Source organism: Homo sapiens, chromosome 18 (genome assembly GCF_000001405.40).
Source record: "Homo sapiens chromosome 18, GRCh38.p14 Primary Assembly".
In the NCBI taxonomy this organism is placed as follows: Eukaryota; Metazoa; Chordata; class Mammalia; order Primates; family Hominidae; genus Homo; species Homo sapiens.
The window spans coordinates 39597394-39622192 of NC_000018.10; the positions used below are offsets into that span (position 1 = coordinate 39597394).

The 24799-nt window shown below is 38.8% G+C and overlaps 1 long non-coding RNA gene and 1 other non-coding gene across 2 annotated transcripts in view; both read right to left on the reverse strand.

Moving 5' to 3' along the window:
• Positions 1–24799, reverse strand: part of MIR924HG (MIR924 host gene) — a 545072-nt gene that overhangs the window by 390470 nt on the left and 129803 nt on the right. The window lies entirely within an intron of this gene.
• Positions 24730–24782, reverse strand: MIR924 (microRNA 924). Its single transcript, NR_030628.1, has one exon. It is a non-coding gene; the product is annotated as a microRNA 924 (primary transcript).

Here is a 24799-nt window from a genome sequence, read left to right on the forward strand (position 1 = left end):
GATTAAAGATGCAACAGAGGCAGGGCCTTAGGCATGCTTTTATGCTCTGACTTCTGCTCAATATGGGATCAGAGAGTTGATTCTAATCACACCATGAGCTTTTTCTCTCGTTTCTCAATGACAACCTTCTTTGTCAGCTTTAATTTTAATACTAGCCCTTGTAAACACACATGTTTCTTCTTTGTGGTCTTCCAGTGGGTTGTGAATGATGATAAAATAATTAGGGAATCTATCAGTAGAAAATGCAATCTAAGGGCTATTTGTGACAATAGACTAAAGGCTACCTTAGTTATATATCTAACATCTAAAACCAATCAATATGCTGATATCTATTCTACTTAGTACTCTTCTAATAACTGAGGGGAATACAAGGGATATACAAGTGAAAACCTCTGTTCTCAGGAGCTTCTAAATGTTTGAAAAATATGTGCCTTCAAATATATTTATATATATATGAGGATAATAATTTACACACAACCATGTATATCTAATGTATGTGATTATATCATCCCATATATTACTTATATATGTAGTTATACACATATAAATGTGTGTGTGTGTGTATATATATATACACACACACACACATATATATATACACATATATGTAATGACTTCCAAATGTTATGATAATGAGTTCTATGGATTTAAAAAAATCCATTTAAAACGTTACTGTTGGACAAAGTGTTTTGAAAAGTGGTCAAAGAGGCTGAGAAAGATTAATTAGTTCTCTTTTTTTCTTTTCTTAAAAAGCACTGTTTTTCCTGTGAGATTTTATTATTTATGTTCATGTTATTTTAAAGCCAGTTTGAACTGAATATGCAGTGGAACCTTGAATAACATGGGTTTGAACTGTGTGAATCCACTTACATGTGGATTTTTTTCAATAAAAGATACACCTAGTGTGTCTGCCTCTCCTGTGTCCCCTGCCACCTCCTTCACCTCTTCTGCCTCTGCTACCCTTGAGACAACAAGCCCAACCCCTCCTCTTCTTCCTCTTCCTCAGCCTACTCAGCATGGAGACAATGGGAATGAAGACCTTTATGATGATTCATTTTCGCTTTACAAATAGTGAATTTATTTTCTCTTCCATATAATTCTGCTAATAACATTTCTTTTCTGTATTTTCTTTATTGTAAGAATACAGTGTACAATACATATAACATTGAAAATATGTGTTAATTGGCTGTTTTATGTTATCGGTGAAGCTTTCAGTCAACAATAGCCTATTAGTTGTTAAGCTCTGGGGGAGTCCAAAGTTATATGTGAATTTTCAACTGAATGAAAGATTGGTGCCTGTAAACTCCTGAGTTGTTCAAGGGTCAACTGTTCACTTATATATGCTTATGTTACACATACACATGCACAAAATTGATGAATAATTACAAATACTTTCAGTATAAAGATCTATTTAGAAGTATGTATTCTGATCCAGTCATTTCACTCACACTCTGAGGAGGACAGGGAGAATCAGGTAAATTGATGGGGAAGGGAATTTTGATGGATGAAAGCAACTTAAAGGCCTTTTCTCACAGGAAGTGCTGTCATATGACAGCTGACTGAAAATGGCAGGTTTAGAAATTCTCTTAAAATATTTTTTGATGTTTAACATGTAATGAGCGCTTACGTGCCATTCACACATTTACTGGGAATAGGCAGAGTGAATGCCAACCTCTAAAGCCAGATTTAGGTATGCCAGCTGTTAAACTCATCTATGGTTTTGCCCTACTGAGCTGGCCATAGGAGAGAAGGAACTAAGTTCTGCATTAAGCTGAGAGAAGGTGTTTTTGGAATTCACCTTGTATAGAAGGAGCAGAGAAAGTTTTGAGTGTTTGTTCAGAGGGAAACTGTTCAGTAGAGGAGTAGGGAAAAAACGTTAACCTTAACTAGATCAGTAAAGTCAAGAGAAGCTAAAGCTTGGAGAGAATGACAGACAAAACAAAGATAGAAAACTAGCAAAACTACTTTAAGAATGGAAGTATCCACATACATAAAATAAATTCCACTACGAATTTATCAGTCACCTCAGAATTTTCTTCCTTGTTTCCTTTATGAGTAACAAACCAGTTCTTACTGGGGTGTGGCATATTTTTAGAGAAATGAAAGAAAGCCAACTGGTTTTTAATGGATCTATATCTGATTCTTCACAGAAAAAAGTTAATATGTGCTTATTTATCTTTTGACATAGTAGTCATCTCATGTCAATTGAGTGTAAAGATATAATACAAGAGAAGAATAATATATTAAAAGATATTTAGTACCACTATACACTAAGAAAATTTTGGGAACATCTTTATATGCAACAAAAAGGAAAATATCTAAGAAAATTTGAGTAAAGTCCCACAATGGAACTCTCAAGATTGATACATTAGAATCCTATGTACAATATGAAAAATATTTTAACCTATTATAAGAAATGGTTACAATATCCGCTTCTTCTTTTTTCTTACACCATTTCTCAAATGAATAATACAACAGTTAATATATCATGCTTATTATAGATGAAAATTTTCTTCCCATTTTTAAAATTTGAAATTTCTTGTTAACAGCGATAGTGTCTTATTCATTTTTCTATCCCTGTCACAGGGCCCACTCTTTGTCTAATAAACTGAACTGAATTGAAGTATTAAGACTTCAAGAAACGAAAAGTGTTATGTTAGGGCAGTGGGAATTTTTTTTTTTTTTTACTTCCAAATTTATTTTCTTTTTATTATTTTCTGTGAAAACCTACATGGTTACATTTTTTGTTGTTGTTGGTATCTTTAGTTGTACCCACATCCATAGTCAGAGATACAATCAACCCTTAATTGGACATTGTTCACAGATCAATGTCCTTTTGTCTCTTCGGTAGAATCATTTGACTAACATTTTTTAACAGCTACACTCCTGAGGAAGAGTGTGGGAAAAGGAAGGATAATAAGAACCAAAAAATTGGAGAGGTTTCCTGCTGGGCATGCAGAGAATTTAAGACAGACAAAACTACTTAGATTGCTAATTTGAGGTCTTTGAGAAACACTTTCAGATCCAACAGTTTTTCCAGGCTTCCCCAGAATTTATCAAGCTTATCTCCAGTCCTGCCACTCACCCCAGATCTATAGTATCTGTCTGGCCCATAATGTCTGCTCCACAATATCTACAGCCTTCCAGTGGCCACTTGACTACTTTTTCCAGGTTCCAGGATTGCTAAGACTGTTTCTACATCCTCAGTTTTCTTTGGTTCCTCAAAGGACTTGAAAGAAAATTCAGAATTCTATCATTTTGCTCTTACATCCTAATCCCCATACTTACTTCTCTCTCCTCCAAGATGAGAAAATGGCTGTTCCCACACAAGTTCTTGAGGAAATGCCTACCACACTGCATTGTCATATTGAATAATCATTTAATCACTGACTAAATCTGAGACACCCAGATCAGAGGATTCAAAAACTCTGGGAGACTTTAAAAACCTTTCCAAATTAAGCATTTATTGTTACTTCATTGCTCCCTTGCTACTTAATTTTCCTGAATCTAATTTTAGGAGAAATTTGCTCCTGTAGCCTTGCACACTTCATCTCAATCAATACGTTATTCTCCCTAGAGGTCCCAAATTATTCTTTTCAAATGTCTTTTTTATCTACCCTTGGAAACAACACAAGCAAATGGAGTTTGACTTCCAGCTGTCAAATCAAGTGTTGAGGCAAACCCTGTGAGCGTGAATCACACGATCTTGCCTTGTTCAATCTGGGTAATGTGGCACAGTCCCAAGAATTCTCCCCTACTACCAAGAGAGAGAAAGAAGGAAAAAGCAAACGGTACACTTTTTAAAAGTTGGAAAAATATACTTGTTTATACATTATACATTATTCATTCACATACAAACTGGTAGCTAAATAATGAATCCTCATTTATGTTCCTTGGACTTCTTTGATATGTTAGGGTGAAGGTTTGAAATGGAATATTTTAAGTGGACCACCCTGTGATTGCAGTTAAGAATTTAACTCAGGCCTCTTTATAATTTCATTCCTGATAATCCATACCTTGGAAAGTGTATTGACAAGATTTCCCTGTTTGTTTTAGGTACTAAAATTTCCTGGTTGAGACAGGTTAATATTCAAAATGTAAGCAATGCCACATTGTTGATGAGGGCATAAAAAGTTCTATTTGTAAGGAATATTATGAAATATTATTTGAAAAAATTTGTATATCATTATAAATGTGTCACAGAATTTTAAATTCATTTAAGAAACATTATCAATGAATAGATATAATAAAATTTATCACACTGGGAGGAGTGTTAGTTTATGTTATTTACATGTTGGTTGATACATTGTCTCAGTTAAAAACAAAATTATATTTCCTCTGGGCCTGATTTAAAGACAGTTTACTAAGTTTGCTAAAGCATACACACAGACACAGACACAGACACACACACACACTCATACAGATGTTATTGTTTTATAGCTGAACCTTATAGATCCTGTTTCCTTGCCTTGAAGGTCTAATTCTCCTAATTCCTGTGTATTTTCCAGAGGGTCCTAGGCCATAAAAAGTACAAAAGAAAGAAAGAAACTCCCTGCATTCTGCCCTGATGATTGTTGTGTAGCGGCAGTGATGATGTTATTGGAAGTTTTAAAAACTAAAATACCCGATCAGGTTCAGAGACATTACCCAGTTATGTTCTGTGTGCTTTTTATGGTTCATTCAATTTTCATCAAACAAGGGACAGCAATTCGTTATTTTCCATTCTCCACTGTCCCAAATCCTCAGACTCTATCAAAGCACACCTTGAGCTCCACCTCCCACATTGTGCTCCCCACTGGTGCCAATCTTCCAGCTAACTCCATTTCCCCTTTGTAAACGCTCGATGTGCTGACCTATTTAAAAATATAACTCAGGTGCCTGGCGAACCATGATGCCTGCCAGCTCTTCAGATAAAGAGGATCCACTTATTAATCTGCTCTGTCTCCATCTGCCTGCTCAATTGGGATTGACTGCTTGCTGTCCAGACTGATACCAGGGAAATCTGATTGAGGACAAGAATCTCTTTGTACATTTCCCCCACTGATATGGCACAACAGGTTTGTTGCAGCCAGGGAGTTAAGCTGATGTGACATGATGTCAGATGGCCTGCCATTGTACGTCAGAAATTAAAAAGAAAATATTCTTTCAAACTGGAATTCCTCATGTGATTTTTATTTCCTTGGGCTTTGAGCAGATTGAGTATTGAATTGCTTGACTGGAGCCCATGGATAATTTAATACCTGCAACATTCGTCCCCGGGTGAATTTCAGCCACATTTGACTTGTTCAGCATGGCGTCTCAGTCCTAACCATTTCATGGAAATCTTGTAAATATTGATTGATGAAATCCCAAGAAATGCTTTTTTCTAACTCTGATTCTGAAATGTTCCAGAAGAAAACACCTAATCTCTGCATCCCTCCTCCCTACTCCATATCCAGTTGTATAAGAAGTAAATAAGAATTTTGGATTTTTTTTAATCCTTCTCCAGTTAAAACAATCAATTCTTACAACTTAAAAAAAATTAAAATAAAGTGATGTGATTTGTTCCATTAAACTAGGCCTGAGTAAGTAAATGAGCAAATAAATAAACTCAAACCATATAAGTGGAATAAAAATGTTATTATTTCTTATGACACTTTTTTAATACTTCAATTTGAGGTATTGGATACATAATATTAGCTATCCAGGAGAATATAAACATAGTGTATGTTTATATGGTTCTTATGGACTAAATGATGTGAAAAGTATTCTGATTTTAGTAGGAGCTTGTGCTTCTATTGAAAAGATAGATAGAACTAGCCTTGTATCAAATAAATCTAAAATCAAAACTGGATGAACATGAAATTTCCAGAATGTGTTTATTAATGTAAAATTCAGAGAAAAAAGATAGACACAAAAATAAGAGTTAAAGATCTTATAGGAATTCATGTTTAGTAACAAGGAATAAAATATTATCAATTTTTTAATATTCAGCTTTTACTCTTTAGTAAAGGCTAATCATTTGTTAATTTGTGTAAGCGCCAGTGTTTAAAAATTCAGACATGAATGAAATGTGTGGCTGGTTTGTATTGTTTATTGTAAATTAAACAGTCTAAAATGTAAATACTATTGGGGAATATAAAATCTCCTTCATTCAGTGCAAATAACACTGAATAAATTAATAAATTGACTAGCCTCTCTTTAATATTTACATGTTATAAAAGTGTATTTGTATGTGTGTGAGTGTATCTGTGCATATGTGAACACAAGATATTCGAAGCACTAGAGGGAAAATAACTTGGTTAAATAGATGAAGCAAGTACAGAGCAGAAACAAAAGTGGCACAAGTTAAGAATACTTTTCAAGTATCAAGAAATTACCTTAACAAAAAGTAATTATTGGATATTTTCTCAATATATAAAAGGGAAAAATATTGTCCAGAATTTTTAAGACTAAAATATAAGAAGAAAAACAAATCCATAAAAAGATTAATGAAATAAAACAATTCAGTTTTAATCTTGCTGTACTGGCTTAGTGTTTGCCTAGCTATTGAGTCTTTCTTACCTTCATTTCCATTTTCCCCAAATCTTAGAGCGGGAAAGATAGTGCATATTGTTTATACTAGACAGGAGATTGCTTGTGAAATTTGTATTCTTTTCTAGATGAACTGGACTGAAAAGAGGAAACTTGGGAGAAAATTACCCTTTATTGATTACCCTAAATCATACCCTCAAAACCTACTACAAGCATGCATCTCCTTGTTTATTCTCTTCTGGGACCTGAATCAAAGGGGAAGCCCCATTAAAACTGTACTCAGCTCCACAATGAGAGAAAAGCGAGAAATATAAGGGCAGTTGGAAGAGATCACATTACTGGAACCATAAATGGGATTCTTCAGAAAAGTAAGGACTTCCATGACCAAGTAAGACAATTCAGCATGCGATTCAACCGAAGTCTTCATACTACAAACTATGGAAAGGCATGAAAATCTGCAGGATACAAGAATATATTGACTTGCATTTTGTAGGACGTAGTTTAAGTATGATATTCTGCTAACAATAACATCCAAAAGTAAAAAGCTCTGTCTTTTCCATCTCATATGCCACACAAAATTATGTACCTTGATTACTCAATAAGCATCAATCAAAGACTGGCATGAAGGACTCAAAGTGGCAAGTTTCTTCTCAAAAGCAGAGACTTATCAATTCAGGTCAGGCAAACGAAACCTAAGTTTGCAAATAGATCTAGAAGGAAAATTATTTTACAGACTCCTAAGGAATGAAAGCACTATAAACAAGCAAATGTTATTTCCTGGAGAGAGGATGGAAGAGAAAGAAATGAGAAAATAAATGTTGTTCATTATTAATTTGCCATTTGGTTCAAGGAAAATGTTCACAGGCAAAGTTGCTTGTATCTTACACTTAATATTTTTCTCATCACAAGATATAATTTTAATAGTTTTTTTCAAATCATGGTTCCTTCTTATCAAATAAGCTTTTTTCAAGCCAATCAAGGTGGGAGACCAGAAGGTTTAAAAAGAATTCATTATAACAACTCAAATGGAAGATATAAAATAATCTGTTTCAAAGAGTAGAGACTGTTTTCCATCAGCATTTGTAACATGACTCATTATTTCACAATTTCTCATCCGCCCTTCCTCTATTCCTACCCTCAAATGCTCTGTGGTAGAAAACTTCGACCTTGCTGAGAGAAATAATAACACAACATAGCTGCACCATCCATGAGATTAATACCGCCCACCGAAAGAAGCACCTCAACCGGCAAAATACAAGTAAAATGCATGAACACACTGAGGAACTCTTTGCCTTGTTCACCTTCTTTCTAAATAATTCATCAGTTTAATGATAATGACATTCAAATATCATAATTACAGCTGACTCTTTAAAAAATATCAATTCCGGGACCCAAAATGGAGCAACCAGCCCCCACTCCTTTTCCCACCATTAGCTGTTAATGCCAAAATATGATCTTTATTCATTTCACTGACATAATATAAAACCAATGTAGATTTCCCATTTTTTGTAAAATTTTCATCTGCACTATTAGTTTCACTGATAGCAGACTGCAAAATGTTGTTAAGCTACAAGATGGAAGACACTGCAAAAACCTCAGCATGTTAAGAAGCCATAAAATTTTATTCAGTTCATTTACTGCTACAGTCCAGTAACCCTATAGTAAGGGTGTGCTATTTTTATTGTGTATTTATTTAAAGGTTGAATATTCTGTTCCCTGGACTAGATATCTAACAGAGTTAATCTAGATTACTAATACACTGAGTTGTCTTCTACTTTGGGGTTTATCATTTCCTTGAAAGTGTTTTTGTGTTTTGGCTATTGTGAAAGAGATAATAGCAGAATACTGCAAACAAAAGCTTGCCTTTGGATAGGTGGCTCATTTATGCTCAAAATTAAACCACCAGGGTATGGGCCTCACATGACACTGAGGAGAAGGACCCCCTTTTCCCTCCCCTTACTCCATCTTATATCTCTAAAAATACAAATCTCAGTGCATAGTGCAATGAAACACAATGTAAGAGACTTTTATTGGTCAGTCTGGGACTCTGCTGGAGATGCTTGACTGCTTATACAATCCCGCAGAAGTCAGCCACATTTCTCATTTATTGCTTTGTCAGTATGTCTTAGCAGTTTGGCATAAATAGGTAAAATATTTTTAGATTAGCATGAGGTAGAACATGCTTCAGGTCTACTAATAAAACCAGTGCCATCTAAAGCTAGCTTATCTATATATTATATGAAATTTGCAAGATGAGGACACAAACTAGAGAAGAGATATGGTGCACATATTTTGCCAATATATGGATATATTGGATATGTGGAGGAGGGGCCTCCCCCACAGACTTCCTGGGCCATGGAACAATAGCAGTTATGCCAGTGGTGACTCTACTATGAAAAAAAGCACACACGTCAAGTCAAAGGAGCCCAAAAAAGGATAGTAGATGGGACTGTTATTTTTGTATTTGGGTTTTCTCCCTTAGAACTAGGGTATTGGTTGTACTAGCGTTAGCAAATACCCTGGAAATTCATTGTTGTGTAAATATACTTGGGCCTCAGGAGTAACAGTTCCCCTGCTCAGTCCCAATTAAAGGCCACATAGAAACTCCAGGTGCAGTAAATAGATAAACTAGCAACAAAAACTACAATAGCAAACAGGCCAGACAAATGATCTACAGCATCCACAATACATTCTGCCTGTGTCTGTGACTTGTTAGAAACCTAGAAGACAAGCCTGTCCCGACTTGGTCCCCTCATCTATAATACAGGCTGATAAGAGAACCTATGCCAGTTGCAGTGTTTTCTCTTGAAAGTTCAAAACATGTGGTTGATAAAAGCAAAGTGTGCATTTTTAAAGGCACATGAGAGAGAGATTTAAATCACCCGAGATAGTCTGTATTTATTCATTCCACAGAGGTACAAAGGCTCTGTCTGGGTAGCATTAAAGAGTAAAGGTTCAAAAGGAATATGTGAGAGTCCCCAGGAGACGGGAAACATAAGAATGCATTAAAATGAGATGGAGAATGTGTCCCAAAATAGCCAAATAATGACTGTTCGTAGTTACTATCTTGCTAGCATCGATTGTGGAATATTTGAGGGCCTGGGAGAATCAATGTATATGGTAAACAATCACCTCCTAAACTGAAATGTCAGAGATACGATACAGAATAATGAATATAAAATCTAGACAAAACTAATGACCAAACAAGATAAACAAGTTAAAACAAATAAGCCATGAAGGGTGAGTGACTAACGATTGAGTTAGGCATAATTCCAGTGAAAATCTGTCCATTTGAACAGCGTTTGCTGTGTGGTGTCAACACAGGCTGACAGCTGAGCCCGGCGTGCCTCCATTTAGCTTCTGGAATATAAAAATCTGGGCTGTGGATGCTGAGATGCAGAAGCCAGGTAGGTATTCAGGCAGTGGTGGGGAAAAACATTTCCAGATTTTACAATTTTACAACCATCCATTCATCATTTTGAGAGATGAAAGGTTATATCTTCTGCTTATTATGCACCTGGCACAGGGGTCTTACATTCATAGATACTCCCTAAAAATGATTTTCAAACAGTTTTTTTTTCTCCTTTTTTTGGTATGTAATTTTTTAAAGGGTGCTAGAAGTCTTACTTGATATCTCTTTCAATTATCCTTTCTTTTGTGCACCTTCCCTCTTTTTCTATTTTGAATTGATTTGTGAACCCCTTTTTACAGCTAAATGAGTCAGCAGAGATGGGATGTTGATAGATCTCATTGGACTTTGGTCAACATTGTTCTGAAATAAAAGGAGCCAGTAGGGTTTAACGGTACACTCCATCACAGAAAAAGCTCTGCTTCCAGCCTCCAATCATTCAGCAAGTCCTTATAACCTAAAAGGTTATTATTAGATAAACCTGAGATTTTGGCACAATTTGATCTCTACGGTGTCTCTTTTTTTGCCTTAGAGATCTCTTGTTGCTTTATGTCCTGATACTAAAACTTTCACTGGCTTCCTTTTCACCCCAAACATTCTTCTGTTTTCACGTCTAACCTAGACAATTCTCTATTCTGTTCTCTTCAAAACTGAACTGTTGTGGGTCTTGTTTAATAAGCAGCTTCTTTTAAATAATTGTCACAGTGGAAAAGATCTCATATTAGTTGAATGTTTGTAGACAATAAACACTGACTGACAGCATTTTTCCCCCTATAAATATTTGCTTACACAGGAATCTTTCCCTTATATTAAAAAAAAATACATATCTAATGTTGGGAATTTCAGACATAATGGCAAGCAAATAGCAGGAATTTCTTTTGATCAGAGCGGCTTATCTGCACACTGTGTGGGGAAACACCTATTCTGCCTGCAGATAAGGCCTTTGTGATGATGTTTTTGTGAATAATATTTTTAAAATAAAGGGGCCTAGGGGCTAAACATTTTTACTTAGCAGACTTAGCAGAAGGAAACTTTAAATTATAATATTTAGATAAAAATTAAACATATCATTTATGATATATTGTTCTAGCAACTTCATAAGCAAACATGGTTTTAAAATATATATTTGGGTATGAAATTATCCCTAATTACTAGAGAAATAACTATCTTTTCTTGTTATTTATGTGCACCTGCTGGGCACTATCCTTATAATAGGGGCCATTCAATTACAACAGGTGGGGTAAAAACTGTTCTTGACTCTACCTGAACAGATCAATAACACCATGTTGGGCCTAGAAGGCATTCAGGTGAGCCCCTAGTCACTAGCCATCATTGAAGATGACAGAATTTCCATATACTTCCTCCACGCAGTCCAATGTGGTATATGTGTAATCTCTAATACCTTCTACTATATTTGCATTCATATCTTGCATCAAATGGAAAGGTCAATACAAAAACTTAAGGAGAAAGCCACCTGAGTTTCTAAGGTAAATCCTAAAGGTTTATGGTCTTTGTTCAGCTGGTAGGCAACAAGAACTTTGGGACATCACTGAAGTCAATCACTACAGGCTGACATCATGCTGTTTCTTGGAATCCTGTTGGTAGTAACCTTAACTGAATGCTCTACCAGATAAATTGAACAGATTTGGCTCCAGCCTTTGTTGGTCAGATTAATGAAAGTGGTTGATCAAGTCACTTACTCATGGAAAACAATTTTCTACACGCCCAGATGGTATAAAATCAATGGATACGCTGGATGTGGTGGCTCACACCTGTAATCCCAGCACTTTGGGAGGCCAAGACAGGTGGATCACCTGAGGTGAGGAGTTCGAGACCAGCCTGACCAACATGGTGAAACCCCGTCTCTACTAAAAATACAAAAATTAGCCGGATGTGGTGGCGCATGCCTTTAATCCCAGCTACTAGGGAGGTTGAGGCAGGAGAATCGCTTGAACCCAGGAGGCAGAGGATGCAGTGAGCTGAGATCATGCCATTGCACTCCAGCCTGGCAAGAGAGCAGCCTGGAGAGCAAAACTCCGTCAAAACAAAACAAAACAAAAAAACAATGGATGCATATTTTTGGGAGACAATTCTCAGTGGGTATCTTGTATTTCTGCATGTGCTATGAGCAAACATGGTGATTGTCTTTGTTCTGGATTACCTTTTTAAAGATGTTTATATAGTGAAGTGCTTTAGAAAAATAGAGCTCGTGTCTCCCTCAAGAAACAGCAGGTTTGCTTACTGCCTTGGAAATAGAGATAGTGTCTCCCTCTAGAGCACGGGTGTCCAACCCTTTGAATATAGGATTTCTTTGCTTATCTGTGGTGATGAATATCACAGAAATTATACATGGATTTTTTTTAACCTTATCAGCTATTGTTAGTGTTAGTGTATTTTATGTGTGGCCCCAGACAATTCTTCTTCCAATGTGGCCCAGGGATGCCAAAAAGTTGGACACCCATCCTCTAAAGAAAACAGCAGTCAATGCTTTCTGCCTAGTGTAACAAAGATAGTATCTCCCTCTGGAGCTAATAGCAGACTTACTTATTGATCTTTATAAGAGACTTGCCTTCTCAAAACTAACAATTTTTCTCCTAAAATGCAACCCACTATGTGTGCAGGGGTTCCACCCTGTGGAAACTGGTGCTTAGGGAACCAGCATAAGAAATGTTGACAGTCTCACTATTGCTATTGTTGTATTAAAAAAAAGTCATTTGTCTCTGACTCAGGAATGTCTTGACTTCTGCCAGTATCCATGAAGATGTGGCAGGTAAAGTTGTTAGCCTGCAAAAGGGGTAAAATTACATTCCCTTCAGGGTTCCTGGTAGCCCCTGATGGAATAGTGTAGAATAGACTTCCTTTAGCAAACCAGTCATTTGGAGGATCAATTATTAGTATTTCTTGTAAGTTGTGGCTTTCATACTTGCTATCAAGGAATATTCAATCTGAATGTGATCTTAGAAGCTATCCGTCATTCTACGTATGAGAAAATTGAAGCTCTCGTTTATTTACCTAAAACAACACACTTAGTGGCAGAATTTGAGCAGATACTTAATTTTTCTGATTTTCTGTTGGTGTTCTTCTCAGCATATTCCATTGACTATAATAAAAACTAAACTCCATAGTCTACTTTAGTCTCAAAAAGGTAACTGATAGATAATTTTTAGTGAGTAAAGTACAAAAATGGGGAATGAATATTACCTATCCCCTGTGGTAACAGGGTAATGGGTTCACATAACAGTCCAGGTTGACATAGGCCTGGGCTTGGATCTAGCAGTGATTTTCAAATCATGGAAGAAAACACTTTGACAAGGCACATTTTCCTCTTGGCTAGCTGCAGCAACATTTGCAAATGTTCTGAAGTATTCTTTGGATCTTAAATATGTCATGTGCATGGACAACAGGAATTAGCACTTTCTGCATTCATCCAAAATACAGGATTAGTTTCAGCCATCTTTTACACTTTTGAGAAAATCTTCCTTAAAGTGACAATAATTTAACCTCATTTCTCATTTTCTTTTGAGCCTCTACACTCTTATCTCTGAAAGCCAATAGCTTATTTTATGTTTTCTCCTCTTGGTTACTGTACTCCTCAGAATAGGGTATGTTATATACAGTGTAACAAACAACCTCCAAATCTCCTAGGCTTAAAATGAGTTTCATTTCTTGCCCATGCTACATTTCCACTCCAAGTCTTCTGGAGGTTTTCTCCTGCTTTATCCTCACCCTGGGACTCAGGCTGACTGAGCCCCACACCTTGAACACTGTATATTGTCATGACATCAGTTCTTGCAACATTTGTCTTGAGGTAATTTTGCTACCACTGACATTTTACCTGGCAAAGTGTGTGCCACGGTCCTAACCAACTTAAGAGGAGAAAGAAGTGTATATCATGTGCCAGGAAAAGGCAGAAGAAATATGTGGTGACCCATGCTAATGATAGCCACAGTTATATTGACTTAGACTCAAACTTAAAGTTTTGGTTGAATATTTGCTCTCATTCCACAGCTTCACTTCTTATTTGGGATATTCTAATTATTTACATTGATGATTTTTTTCCTTACTCCAAATGATTCAATGCATTACAGTGGGGAATTATTGCATGGTGTTATGTAAGAGAAACTTGTTTGAAGATTTTTTGAAAGATGATGTCAGAGGTTAAAAGAAAGCTAGAAAGAGAACTGAAAAAAAGCAAAGGGAAAGGGTGATTGGTCAAACATTAATAGAGAAGAGAGAGAATTGAAAGAGAGGCAAAATGAAAAGAAGGGAAAGGAAAGAAAGAGAAAAGTGAAAGGAGAATATATTGAAAAGAAAGAAAGCCAGTGGGAAATGAATACTGAGAGCAAAACTTGCACAGTTCAACATGCTTAAAACTCCCTGTTGCGGGGCTCAGGGGGCGGGGAATGGTATGAAAACCTATAAGACATTATTTAAATCTTATGATGTTGTGCCCCAGGGTTGAAACCAAGTCCTGGGCTCATCATCTCCAGTTCCCTGCTGGCTTAAAGAGAAATATGTGTGTATATATATATAGGCAATTGAACAAAAGTTCTGAATCTCAAAGCAACTAATGAAAACACACGCACAAATTCTTGAGATTCTTCTTCTTCCCTAGGGCTCACTTTTTCTTAGAAGAAAAAAAAAATGTGAGAACCCAGCTGAGATCTGAATTTTTCCCCCAACTCAACAGGAAAAGGAGTAGAATATTGCTGGCCCCAAAGTTCAAATACCAGGAGACCAAAATGACACTTCAATAAGTGGAGAAATGCTTGAAAATATTTTTTGGTTGCAAGGTTTTCTTCTCTGTTCATCCCTTTATCTCTCTGATGAATGGCTTTTTAGGGGTGTATGTGTGTATGACTGAGAGAGAGAGAGTGAGAGAGAGGCAGACACAGATAGACAGAGAGAGAGAAAATGAATTAGTGATGTGCTGGCGTCCACTGACATCTAACCATGTAAGTCAAATTAGCCATGATAGGAGTATAGTTACACCATGAAAATCACAACACCACACACACACGTGCACACACACACATAAATCAGGTTTATTTGTTTTTCAGAGAGTTTGTTGCTAAACATTTACCAGCACACCCTAAAGAGAGGAGAAAAAAATATGTGAAGAAAAAGAAAAAAGGAGAAATCAAAGAAAGAGAAAGCAAAAAGAGCATATTTGGATGTGGAAGAAGAAAAAGACAAGTTGAACTGTCTTAAATTCCAGCCCATGAAAGCCTTCCTTTTTTTAAATAAAGTTTTTGTTTTGTTTTGGTCTGGAATGTTTTTCTTTTAGTTTTTCATTTCTTTTTAACCAGTTATAGGCAAATGAGAGTTAAAGAACTATCCATGCACCTAGCTGAGAAACAGCTCTGCTTCTCTGCAGAGACTGAGTCTTTAAGGGTGAAAAACAGACAGCAAACTGCGGCAGATACATGTTTTGGTCCGACCGAGCATTAGACACATTAGTCCTCTCACCTGAAAGGCAAGCAGATTGCCCACTCCATCTGATCTTAGAAATATTGGAGTAAAATATTAGTGATGCTTATATCCCACCATGGAAACTTCTATTCTTTAAAAAATTGATCTCTGTATTTAAAATGCAAAATATCTGACTCATTAACACTTTAAACATTTACATCTAAGTCTGAATGAACATCTGATGTTTTTATACATGGGAAAAAGAGGACTGAAAAATTCAAATGCAAAATTTTTTCATTTTACTTTTTCCTAGGACATTCAGATGACCCACTTATTAATATCCATAAAAGGGGAGAAAATACAAATAGACACACAGGATGGTGTTGATTTCAGATTTAAAATTAAATCAGTCAAAATAAAAGAACAAATTGTAGATTACTGCTTTGTTTTGTTATGTTTTGTTTTTTTCTTTAAAAAGGCTGAGGAAATTTATCAATACATGGGATGGAGAGTAAGATAGCCATCTCAAGGATATATATACTTTCCTACGTTTTCCTTAGCTGGGCTCACTGCAGTTTCACTCTACAGGTGGAAACACCCCAAAATAACAACTCAATTGCATAGCAAACCAGCCTGAAAATTACTACAGTAAGATCCCTTGTCTCCAAGGAGGCCAGAGGCCAGATGACTTCCAAAATTCCCAAATCTAAAGTTCTCTCCCCACTTTGGAGTACAGGCAGCAGGTAGCGTCCAGGGTGTGGTTCCCGGGTGGGTGTGTGTGTCCTCAGATTGAAACAGGAGTGCAAAGGAGGCCACAGGAACTATAGCTGGCCATGTGAATCAAAACAAAAGAATAAGCACATATTGACATGGATTCAAATAATATGATAGAAAATCTCCAAAACAAAGAAAGATGCTCTCTGCTTCTCAGACTCATCTTTTACAAAATGAGCCTACCCCAAATTTTGTTTTCAACTCTAGCATTTTGGGCTGTCACAGGATGAGAACTCAGAAAAATCAGTGTGTGATTACCAGAAATCCTGGGGTTATTCTGTTGCGATTTCTTAGAATTACATAAAAGGACCTTGAAAGTTCCATTCCTTGCCTCCAGGGTAGGCAGGTGAGCATCAAACCAAAAACAAACAAAAACAGAAGAGATTTCATCTCTTCCCCTGCTAAACCATATCAATGTTTAATAACTTCCATCTACGTTTTAACATTTTCTTTCCTGCTTTCTTCTTATTGCAGAAGCATAGTGCTCATGTTTTCTTTGCTGTTGTTTGGCGAGATGCAGAAACCTGAGCATTCTTGTTACACACTGTGTGTATATATGTGTGTGCGTGTGTGTGCCTGTTTATTTTTCTAATGAGTATGTTTGAAGGAGGTGGTAACCCACACAAAGTCTAGAACAGTACTGGACACACACAACACGTTCATTAGTTAGCTGCGGACTAAGCAACTGAACCTGAACCCTTTGCTCCTAGCAGGTTACTCCACTTGTTTTGATGATCTCTTGCTCATTTTGAGCTTGGCTACAGCAATCTGCATCTCCCCATCTTATCCAGGCTTCCTCTGCATCCCCTAACTCCATATAGGCGTACACACACACATGTCTTTGCCTCTCTTAACCTTAACCATTTCTAAAAACCTCCCTTAGACTCCACTCCACACGGGAACCCCCTACTCCCGGGCATCTGTCTTCCTTTGAACCCTGCTGGAGTACATTCTCTTCTTAGGACTAATTGGTCATCTACAGTATGCCTTGAGCTACAATTTGATGCTGTTTCCATGCAGGTCTTATTTCTTCGTTTACGTTATGTGAAATTCAGAAATATACACTACAGTTTATCTCTATAGCACCCCCCGCCTCCACCCGCAGTGCCTAGCTCAGGCTTATGTATATAGCAGCTTGTGATGAGTATTTGTTGAAAGAATGAAGGAAAGAATCAATTCATCACTCAGATAATCAGGTCTTTAGCTGAGTAGCAATGGGCTACTATTTCAAAGATATAATAATTGTCTTTCACACAATCTTTTGTGGAGAGAATATACAATCTGTGTGATTAGGAAAGTCTTTCTCCCACTTGATTACCTATTTTAAGTAAAATTTACACCATTTCTTGAGGTTTTCTGCTCAGATTAGATCAAATTCAATTGGCTTCTTGATTTACACCCCTATTAGTTTCTGCCTCTGTGATGCATATTATGTATACAAAGAAAAATGTCAAAGTCTTTGCCCCCAAAGAATTCATGTTACTATGTGGAGGATAGGAAAAAACATGCTGTTGGACACTGAAAAAGGAATACTCTCCAGGCTATGCCTTGGAGTGGGCCAGGGAAGAACTCAAAATGGTTTGCTTATTTAGTTTATATTCTTTACTTGCATATAAATGGAACCTTGAAAAAAACAATCAATCTCTATGTATGAAATAAATAAACACACATTATGTAATAAAAGAACTAAAATTCTTGTTCTTGACTAATGGTTATATAATTTCTAGTTTTCAAATATGTAGCCCAATGTGTAAAATAATGAAAGTGGAAATAATCTGGTTATGTTGGGAGAAAAGGTCTCATTCTGCTTTCTTTCTCTTTTTTGCCCAGACCCTAGTAAAGGCTCTAAAACACAATTGAAAACTCATGATCAAATAAACACTTGGAGTGGGCATTTAAAAAATTGTTCTAAATCCTGTAGTTCAAGTAGTTGAAGTTAGACTATGTTCCTGCAATCCTAAAGTACATAATTTAGGAAATAAAGTGCTTCTTTCCATATATTTAGGCCTTAACAAGTTTAAAAATAAAAAAAATGGAGAAAATATATATTCAATCATTAGAAAATAGAGGGACAAATCTCATAATTCCAAGAAGTGATATAAAGAAAATACTGAATATATAATAAGATAATTGTAGCTGATAGCACTAAAGTGGACCATCAAGAAACCTCTCCAAAGACTACCCCTCCAAATGTTGAGCTGTTGTTGCCATGAAGAACAATTATTTCCCAAAATAGGGGTACAATTTTTATCAGAGTTATGGCCCACGACCGAAAGAATTGTGTGGCTGACTTGGAAACATTTTCTATGTTTCTGAATATTCATAAGTTGAAAAATTAAAATTAAGATGGACAGAAACACTGCCTTGTTTGTTGTTTTGTTGTTGTTATTTACTCCCAAGTAATATTTTCTCTTTTTTTGCCTGCTATATTTTAAGTGAAGATGTTTTTCCTTTAAAGGTGTGTTAGTCTGTTCTTACATTGCTATAAAGAATTACTGAGACTGAGTAACTTATAAGGAAAATAGGTTTAACTGGCTCACAGTTCTGCAAGCTGTATAGGAAGCACGGCTCGGGAGGCCTCAAGAAACTTACATTTGTGGAGGAAGGTGAAGAGGAAGGAGTCACATCTTACATGGCTGAAGCAGAAGAAGAGAGAGAAGGGGGAAGTGCTACACACTTTAAAACAATCAGATCTTGTGAGAACTCACTCACTATCATGAGAACAGCAAAGGTGATGTCCACCTTTATGAACCAATTACCTCCCACCAGGCCCCTCTTCCAACATTGAGGATTACAATTTGACCTAAGATTTGGGTGGGGACATGAATTCAAACCATATTATTCTGCCCCTGGCCCTTCCCAAATCTCATGTCCTTCTCATCACAGAATACAATCATCCCTTCTCAACAGTCCCCCTCAGCATAAACCCAAAAGTTCACAGTTCAAAGTCTAATCTGAGTCAAGGAAAATGCCTTCTGCTTATGAACCTGTGAAATAAAAAGCAAGTTACTTACCTCAAATATACAATGGGGGTACAGGCATTGGGTAAATATACCCATTCCAAATGAGAGAAATTGGCCAAAACAGAGGGGCTGCAGACTCCATGCAAGTCCAAAACCCAGCAGGGCAGTCATTAAATTTTAAAGCTCCAAAATAATCTCCTTTGACTCTAAGTCTCACATCCAGGCCACACTGATGCAAGAGATGGAGCTCCCAAGGCCTTGGGGAGCTCCACCCCAGTGGCTCTGCAGGGTACAGCCCCCTCAGCTGATATTACAGGCTGGCATTGAGTGCTTGTGGCTTTTCCAGGTGCACAGTATAAACTGTCAGTGGATCTACCATTCTCTCTAGGAGGGAGGATGGTTGCCCTCTTCTCACAGTTCCACTAGGTAGTGCCCCTGTGTCTGGGGGGAGGGGGGCAAACCCACATTTTGCCTCTGCACTGAAGCAGAGGAAAATCTGCCCTTGGAGCAGGTTTCTGTCTGAACATCCAGGATTTTCATACATCCTCTGAAATCCAGGCAGAGGCTCCCAAGCCTCAACGCTTGCCCTCTGTGTACCTGCAGGCTTAACACCGCATGGACGCCAACAACGCCTACAACTTGCAGCCTCTGGATCAGTGGCCTGAGGTACATTTGGGGCCCTTTTAGCCACTGTTAAAACTGAAGTGGCTAGGACGCAAGGAGCAGTGTCCCAAGGTTTCACAGAGAAGCAGGGCCCTGGGCCCAGCCCACAAAACCTCCCAGGCCTCTGGACTTCAGATGGGAGGGGCTGCTGTGAAGGTCTCCGAAAGGCGTTTTTTTTGTTTTTTTTTTTTGAGACAAAATCTCGCTCTGTCACCCAGGCTGGAGTGCAGTGGCATGATCTTGACTCACTGCAACCTCTGCCTCCCAGGTTCAAACAATTCTCCTGCTTCAGCCTCCTGATTAGCTGGGATTACAGGCACATGCCACCATGCCCAGCTAATTTTTGTATTTTTAGTAGAGAAGAGGTTTTGCCATGTTGGCCAGACTGGTCTCAAACTCCTGACCTCAAGTAATCTGCCCACTTTGTCCTCCCAAAGTGCTGGGATTATAGGCATGAGCCATCGGTGCCCAGCCTGAAATGTCTTTGGGGCATTTTTTCCCACTGTCTTGTTTGTTAACATGTGGCTCCTGTTCACTTATGCAAATTTTTGCAGCTGGCTTGAATTCCTCCCCCGAAAATGATTTTTTTTTTTTTTTTGAGACGGATCTTGCTCTGTCACCCAGGCTGGAATGCAATGGCACAATCTCTGCTCACTGCAACCTCTGCCTCCCAGGTTCAAGTGATTCTCCTAAGTCAGCCTCCTGAGTAGCTGGGATTACAGGTGTGCACCACCATGCTCAGCTAATTTTTGTATTTTTAGTAGAGATGGGGTTTTGCCATATTGGTCAGACTGGTCTGGAACTCCTGACTTTGTGACCCATGCACCTCAGCTTCCCAAAGTGCTGGGATTACAGGGGTGAGCCACTGCACCTGGCCGAAAATGGATTTTTATTTTCTACCACATGGTCAGGTTGCAAATTGTCTAAACTGTTATGATCTGCTTCCCTTTTAAATATAAGTTCCAGTTTCAGATAATCTCTTTGCTCACGCATAGGATCATACACTGTTAGAAGCAGCCAGGCCCATCTTGAATGCTCTGCTGCTTAGAAATTCCTTCCATCAAATACCCTAAATCATCATGTTCAAGTTCAAATTTCATAGATCCCTACAGCAGGCGCACACTGTCACCAGTCTCTTTGCTAAAGCATAGCAGAGTTGAGAGGTGACAACATGCTGGCGGCTCCCGCTCACTCTCGACGCCTCCTCGGCCTTGGCGCCCACTCTGGTCATGCTTGAGGAGCCCTTCAGCCCGCCGCTGCACTGTGGAGCCCCTGTCTGGGCTGGCCAAGGCTGGAGCGGCTCCCTCTGCTTGGGGGGAGGTGTGGAGGGAGAGGCGTGGGTGGGAACTGGGGCAACGCGCAGCGCTCATGGGCCAGCACAAGTTCCAGGTGGGTGTGGGCTCGGCGGGACCGCAATCAGAGCGTCCGGTCTGAGCTGCCGGCCCAGGGTAGTGAGGGGCTTAGCACCAAGGCCAGCAGCTGCTGAGGGGGCTCCGGGTGCCCCATCACTGCTGGCCTGCCCGTGCCATGCTTGAATTCTTGCCAGGCCTCAGCTGCTTCCCTGCAGGGCAGGGCTCAGGACCTGCAGCCCGCCATGCCCAAGCCTCCCCAACCCTCCCCCCACCCCGTGGGCTCCTGCGTGGCCCAAGCCTCCCCAACAAGCACCGCCTCCTGCTCTGTGGCGCCGGGTCCCATCGACCGCCCAAGGGCTGAGGAGTGCAGGCATGCAGCGCGGTACTGGCAGGCAGCTCCGCCTGTGGCCCTGGTGCAGGATCCGCTAGGTGAAGCCAGCTGGGCTCTTGAGTCTAGCTGGGACTTGGAGAACCTTTATGCATAGCTGGAGGATTGTATACACACCAGTCAGCACCCTGAGTCTAGCTTAAGGTTTGTAAATGTACCAATCAGTGCTCTGTGTCTAGCTAATCTAGTGGGGACTTGGAGAACTTTTGTTTCTAGCTCAGGGATTGTAAACGCACCAAACTGCACCCTGTCAAAACGGACCAATCAGCTCTCTGTAAAATGGACCAATCAGCAGGACGTGGGTGGGGCCACATAAGGGAATAAAAGCAGGCTGCCCCAGCCAGCAGTGGCAACCCTCTCAGGGTCCTCTTCCGCACTGTGGAAGCTTTGTTCTTTCGCTCTTTGCAATAAATCTTGCTGCTGCTCGCTTTTTGGGTCCGCACGTTCTTTATGAGCTGTAACACTCAGCACGAAGGTCTGCAGCTTCACTCCTGAGGCCAGCAAGACCACGAACCCACCGGGAGGAATAAACAACTCCAGATGGGAGTATTGAACAACTACAGACGCGCTGCCTTAAGAGCTGTAACATTCACGGGAAGGTCTGCAGCTTCACTCCTGAAGCCAGCGAGACCACCAACCCACCAGAAGGAAGAAACTCCGAATACGTGTGAACATCAGAAGGAACAAACTTTGGACACACCATCTTTAAGAACTGTGACACTCACCGCGAGGGTCCGCAGCTTCATTCTTGAAGTCAGTGAGACAAGGAACCCACCAATTTGGGACACAGAGTGACCTTTACTCCAGTTCCTAGTAAATTTCTCATCTCATCTGAGACCTCCTCAGCCTGGACTTTATTTTCGTATCACTATCAGCATTTTGGTCACAACCATTCAACACAACTCTAGGAAGTTCCAAACTTTCTTTCGTCTTCCTGTTTTCTTTTGAACCCCACAAACTGTTCCAACCTCTGCCCATTACCCAGTTCTAAAGCTCCTTCCATGTTTTCAGGTATCTTATTAGCAATGCCTCACTTCCTGGTACCAATTTTCTGTGTTAGTTCGTTCTTACACTGCTATAAAGAACTACCTGAGAATGGGTAATTTATAAAGAAAAGGGTTTTAATTGACTCACAGTTCTGCAGGCTGTACAGGAAGCATGGCTAAGGAGGCCTCAGGAAACTTACAATTATGGCAGAAGGTGAAGGAGAAGCAGACAGATCTTACATGGCCAAACAAGGAGGAAGAGGGCAAAGAAGTTGTTGCCACACACTTCTTTAAACAACTGGATATCATGAGAACTCGCTTAGTATCACGAGAACAGCAAGAGGAAAGTCCTCTCCCATGATCCAGTCATCTCTCCCCAGGCTCCTCCTCCAACAGTGGAGGTTACAATTTGGCATGAGATTTGTGTGGGTGCACTAATCTAAACTATATCATATAGCCACTGTGACCACAAAGTCAATCATAGTATAAGCATATTTAAGTCACACATTCATTATAGATCTTGTCTTCACAGGCCCTCCCTGGGTCACAACTTCAAGATTTTAGATAAAGAGGTCAAGCTGGCTTGGGTGTGCATGCAATTCATAAGGGTCAGAAGAAAAGACAGTTGGCTCTGCCCTTTCCTGAACTATAAAACCAGCCATAGTCCTCTGAAGGAGGTGTGTGCTTGAGATTTTGATCCATTGTGCTGTAATTAATGACTTAGGGGGAAAGGCATTAAGATGTAGGTTTGAAACTGCAAATTACTAGAACAACTGCCTGTTTCATATTCTGCTATTTACAAACTGTGGTGGGGGAAAACAGTAACAACCTATAAGGAATCTTGAAAAAAGAAACTGCGTGACAGAGGAGATCATTGTTCTCTGTATTGCAACACACATTCAGAGGCCCTTGAAGTGAAATAACTTAGATATTTTTTTCTTTTTTGTTTGTTTTCTGTTTTTCCCTTTGGGCCGTCTACAAGTGAACCAGTCTAAATTGGTTTAATCAATCAATAGGAATTTGCAATTCTATGCTAAGTGCAACAACAGATAGTAAAAGACTATAAAATACAAAGAGGTATTCTGTGAAATTGGGGCATACAAGAGACAGGCTTCCCCTGCTCCTTTGATCAGTCTCTCAGATATCTCCTAGGGCTTGAATACCAGACATGTCACCACTTCCAAATACTTCAATATTGGCTACCAGAGGAGAAAGATTCACTTCTGGTCTGTCATTCTAATATGGTCTTTAGACCCATGGGGCTAAGTGATAAAGGTTCACAAGTCTTCTGTAATATTGAAAACAAACAAACAAACAAGAAAACACTAAATTAAAGCCTTTTTCAGGTAACTAAGAAAAACCTGCTCAGACTTAGATCAATGTCAGGCTTCTTTGCTTTGTGTAAAGTAACAACTCATTGGAATAACTCTGGTTGAAGTGATATAGCTTGTGCTGATCAAAAAATTTGGAGAGTATATACCTATGATTAGTAAAAATGTCAAAAAGCCTATTGCTAAATAATTTAAAATGTGGAGTCCTCAGTGGAAAAATTATCTGTGTGCCTATTATTGGGGTTCAGAAAACAATACCCAAAAATATGACAATGTGCTCTTCCAAACAAAGCACAGGATTTAGGCTTTTCTCTGAAATTTCCTTATCTACTTTAAGACTGGACCTGCCAAAGGAACCCAACTGCCCTCCATTCCCTCTCTGAAATCTCATTACCTATCACAGAAAAGAAGACAGGAATGCAACCATATCTGGAGGGACATTTTTATAAGATAATGTCTCTCAGCCTTATTTGAATTCCAAAGAGAATCATTTCCAAGTTAATTTTTGTCTGTTGAGTCCATTCATTCCCCCTAAAAATCATTTACTACCCCTCAAAATTGCTACAACCTTGATTGCCCCTTCTCCTGAGAAGGTTATATAAATACCTGGACCTCATTGAGTTATTGGGCCATCATTCTCCTGTGATTCCCTCGTACTCCTGCACATTAAATAAATGTTGTATGCCTTTTTGTATTATTAATCTGCCTATTTTCAGTTTATTTTCAGCAAACCTTTAGAGGGCAGAGGGGAAGCTTTCTTTGCTCCTACAGTATATACCAATGAGATTTACAGAGGCAAAATGAGAACTTTATTTTCTAAAAGCAATCTGCAGACTGGGGAGATGCAGCCTTCAGTGCAAACCAAAATACACACCGAAGAGGAGTCAAGGAGTAGAAAATTATTATAAAGGCAAAAACCATAGGATGGAAGGGAATCAGTTGTAGACTCTAGGTTGGATGGCCCTTAAGCAAGACATCACAAGACTCTATTGACTGGCTTAGGTGGTC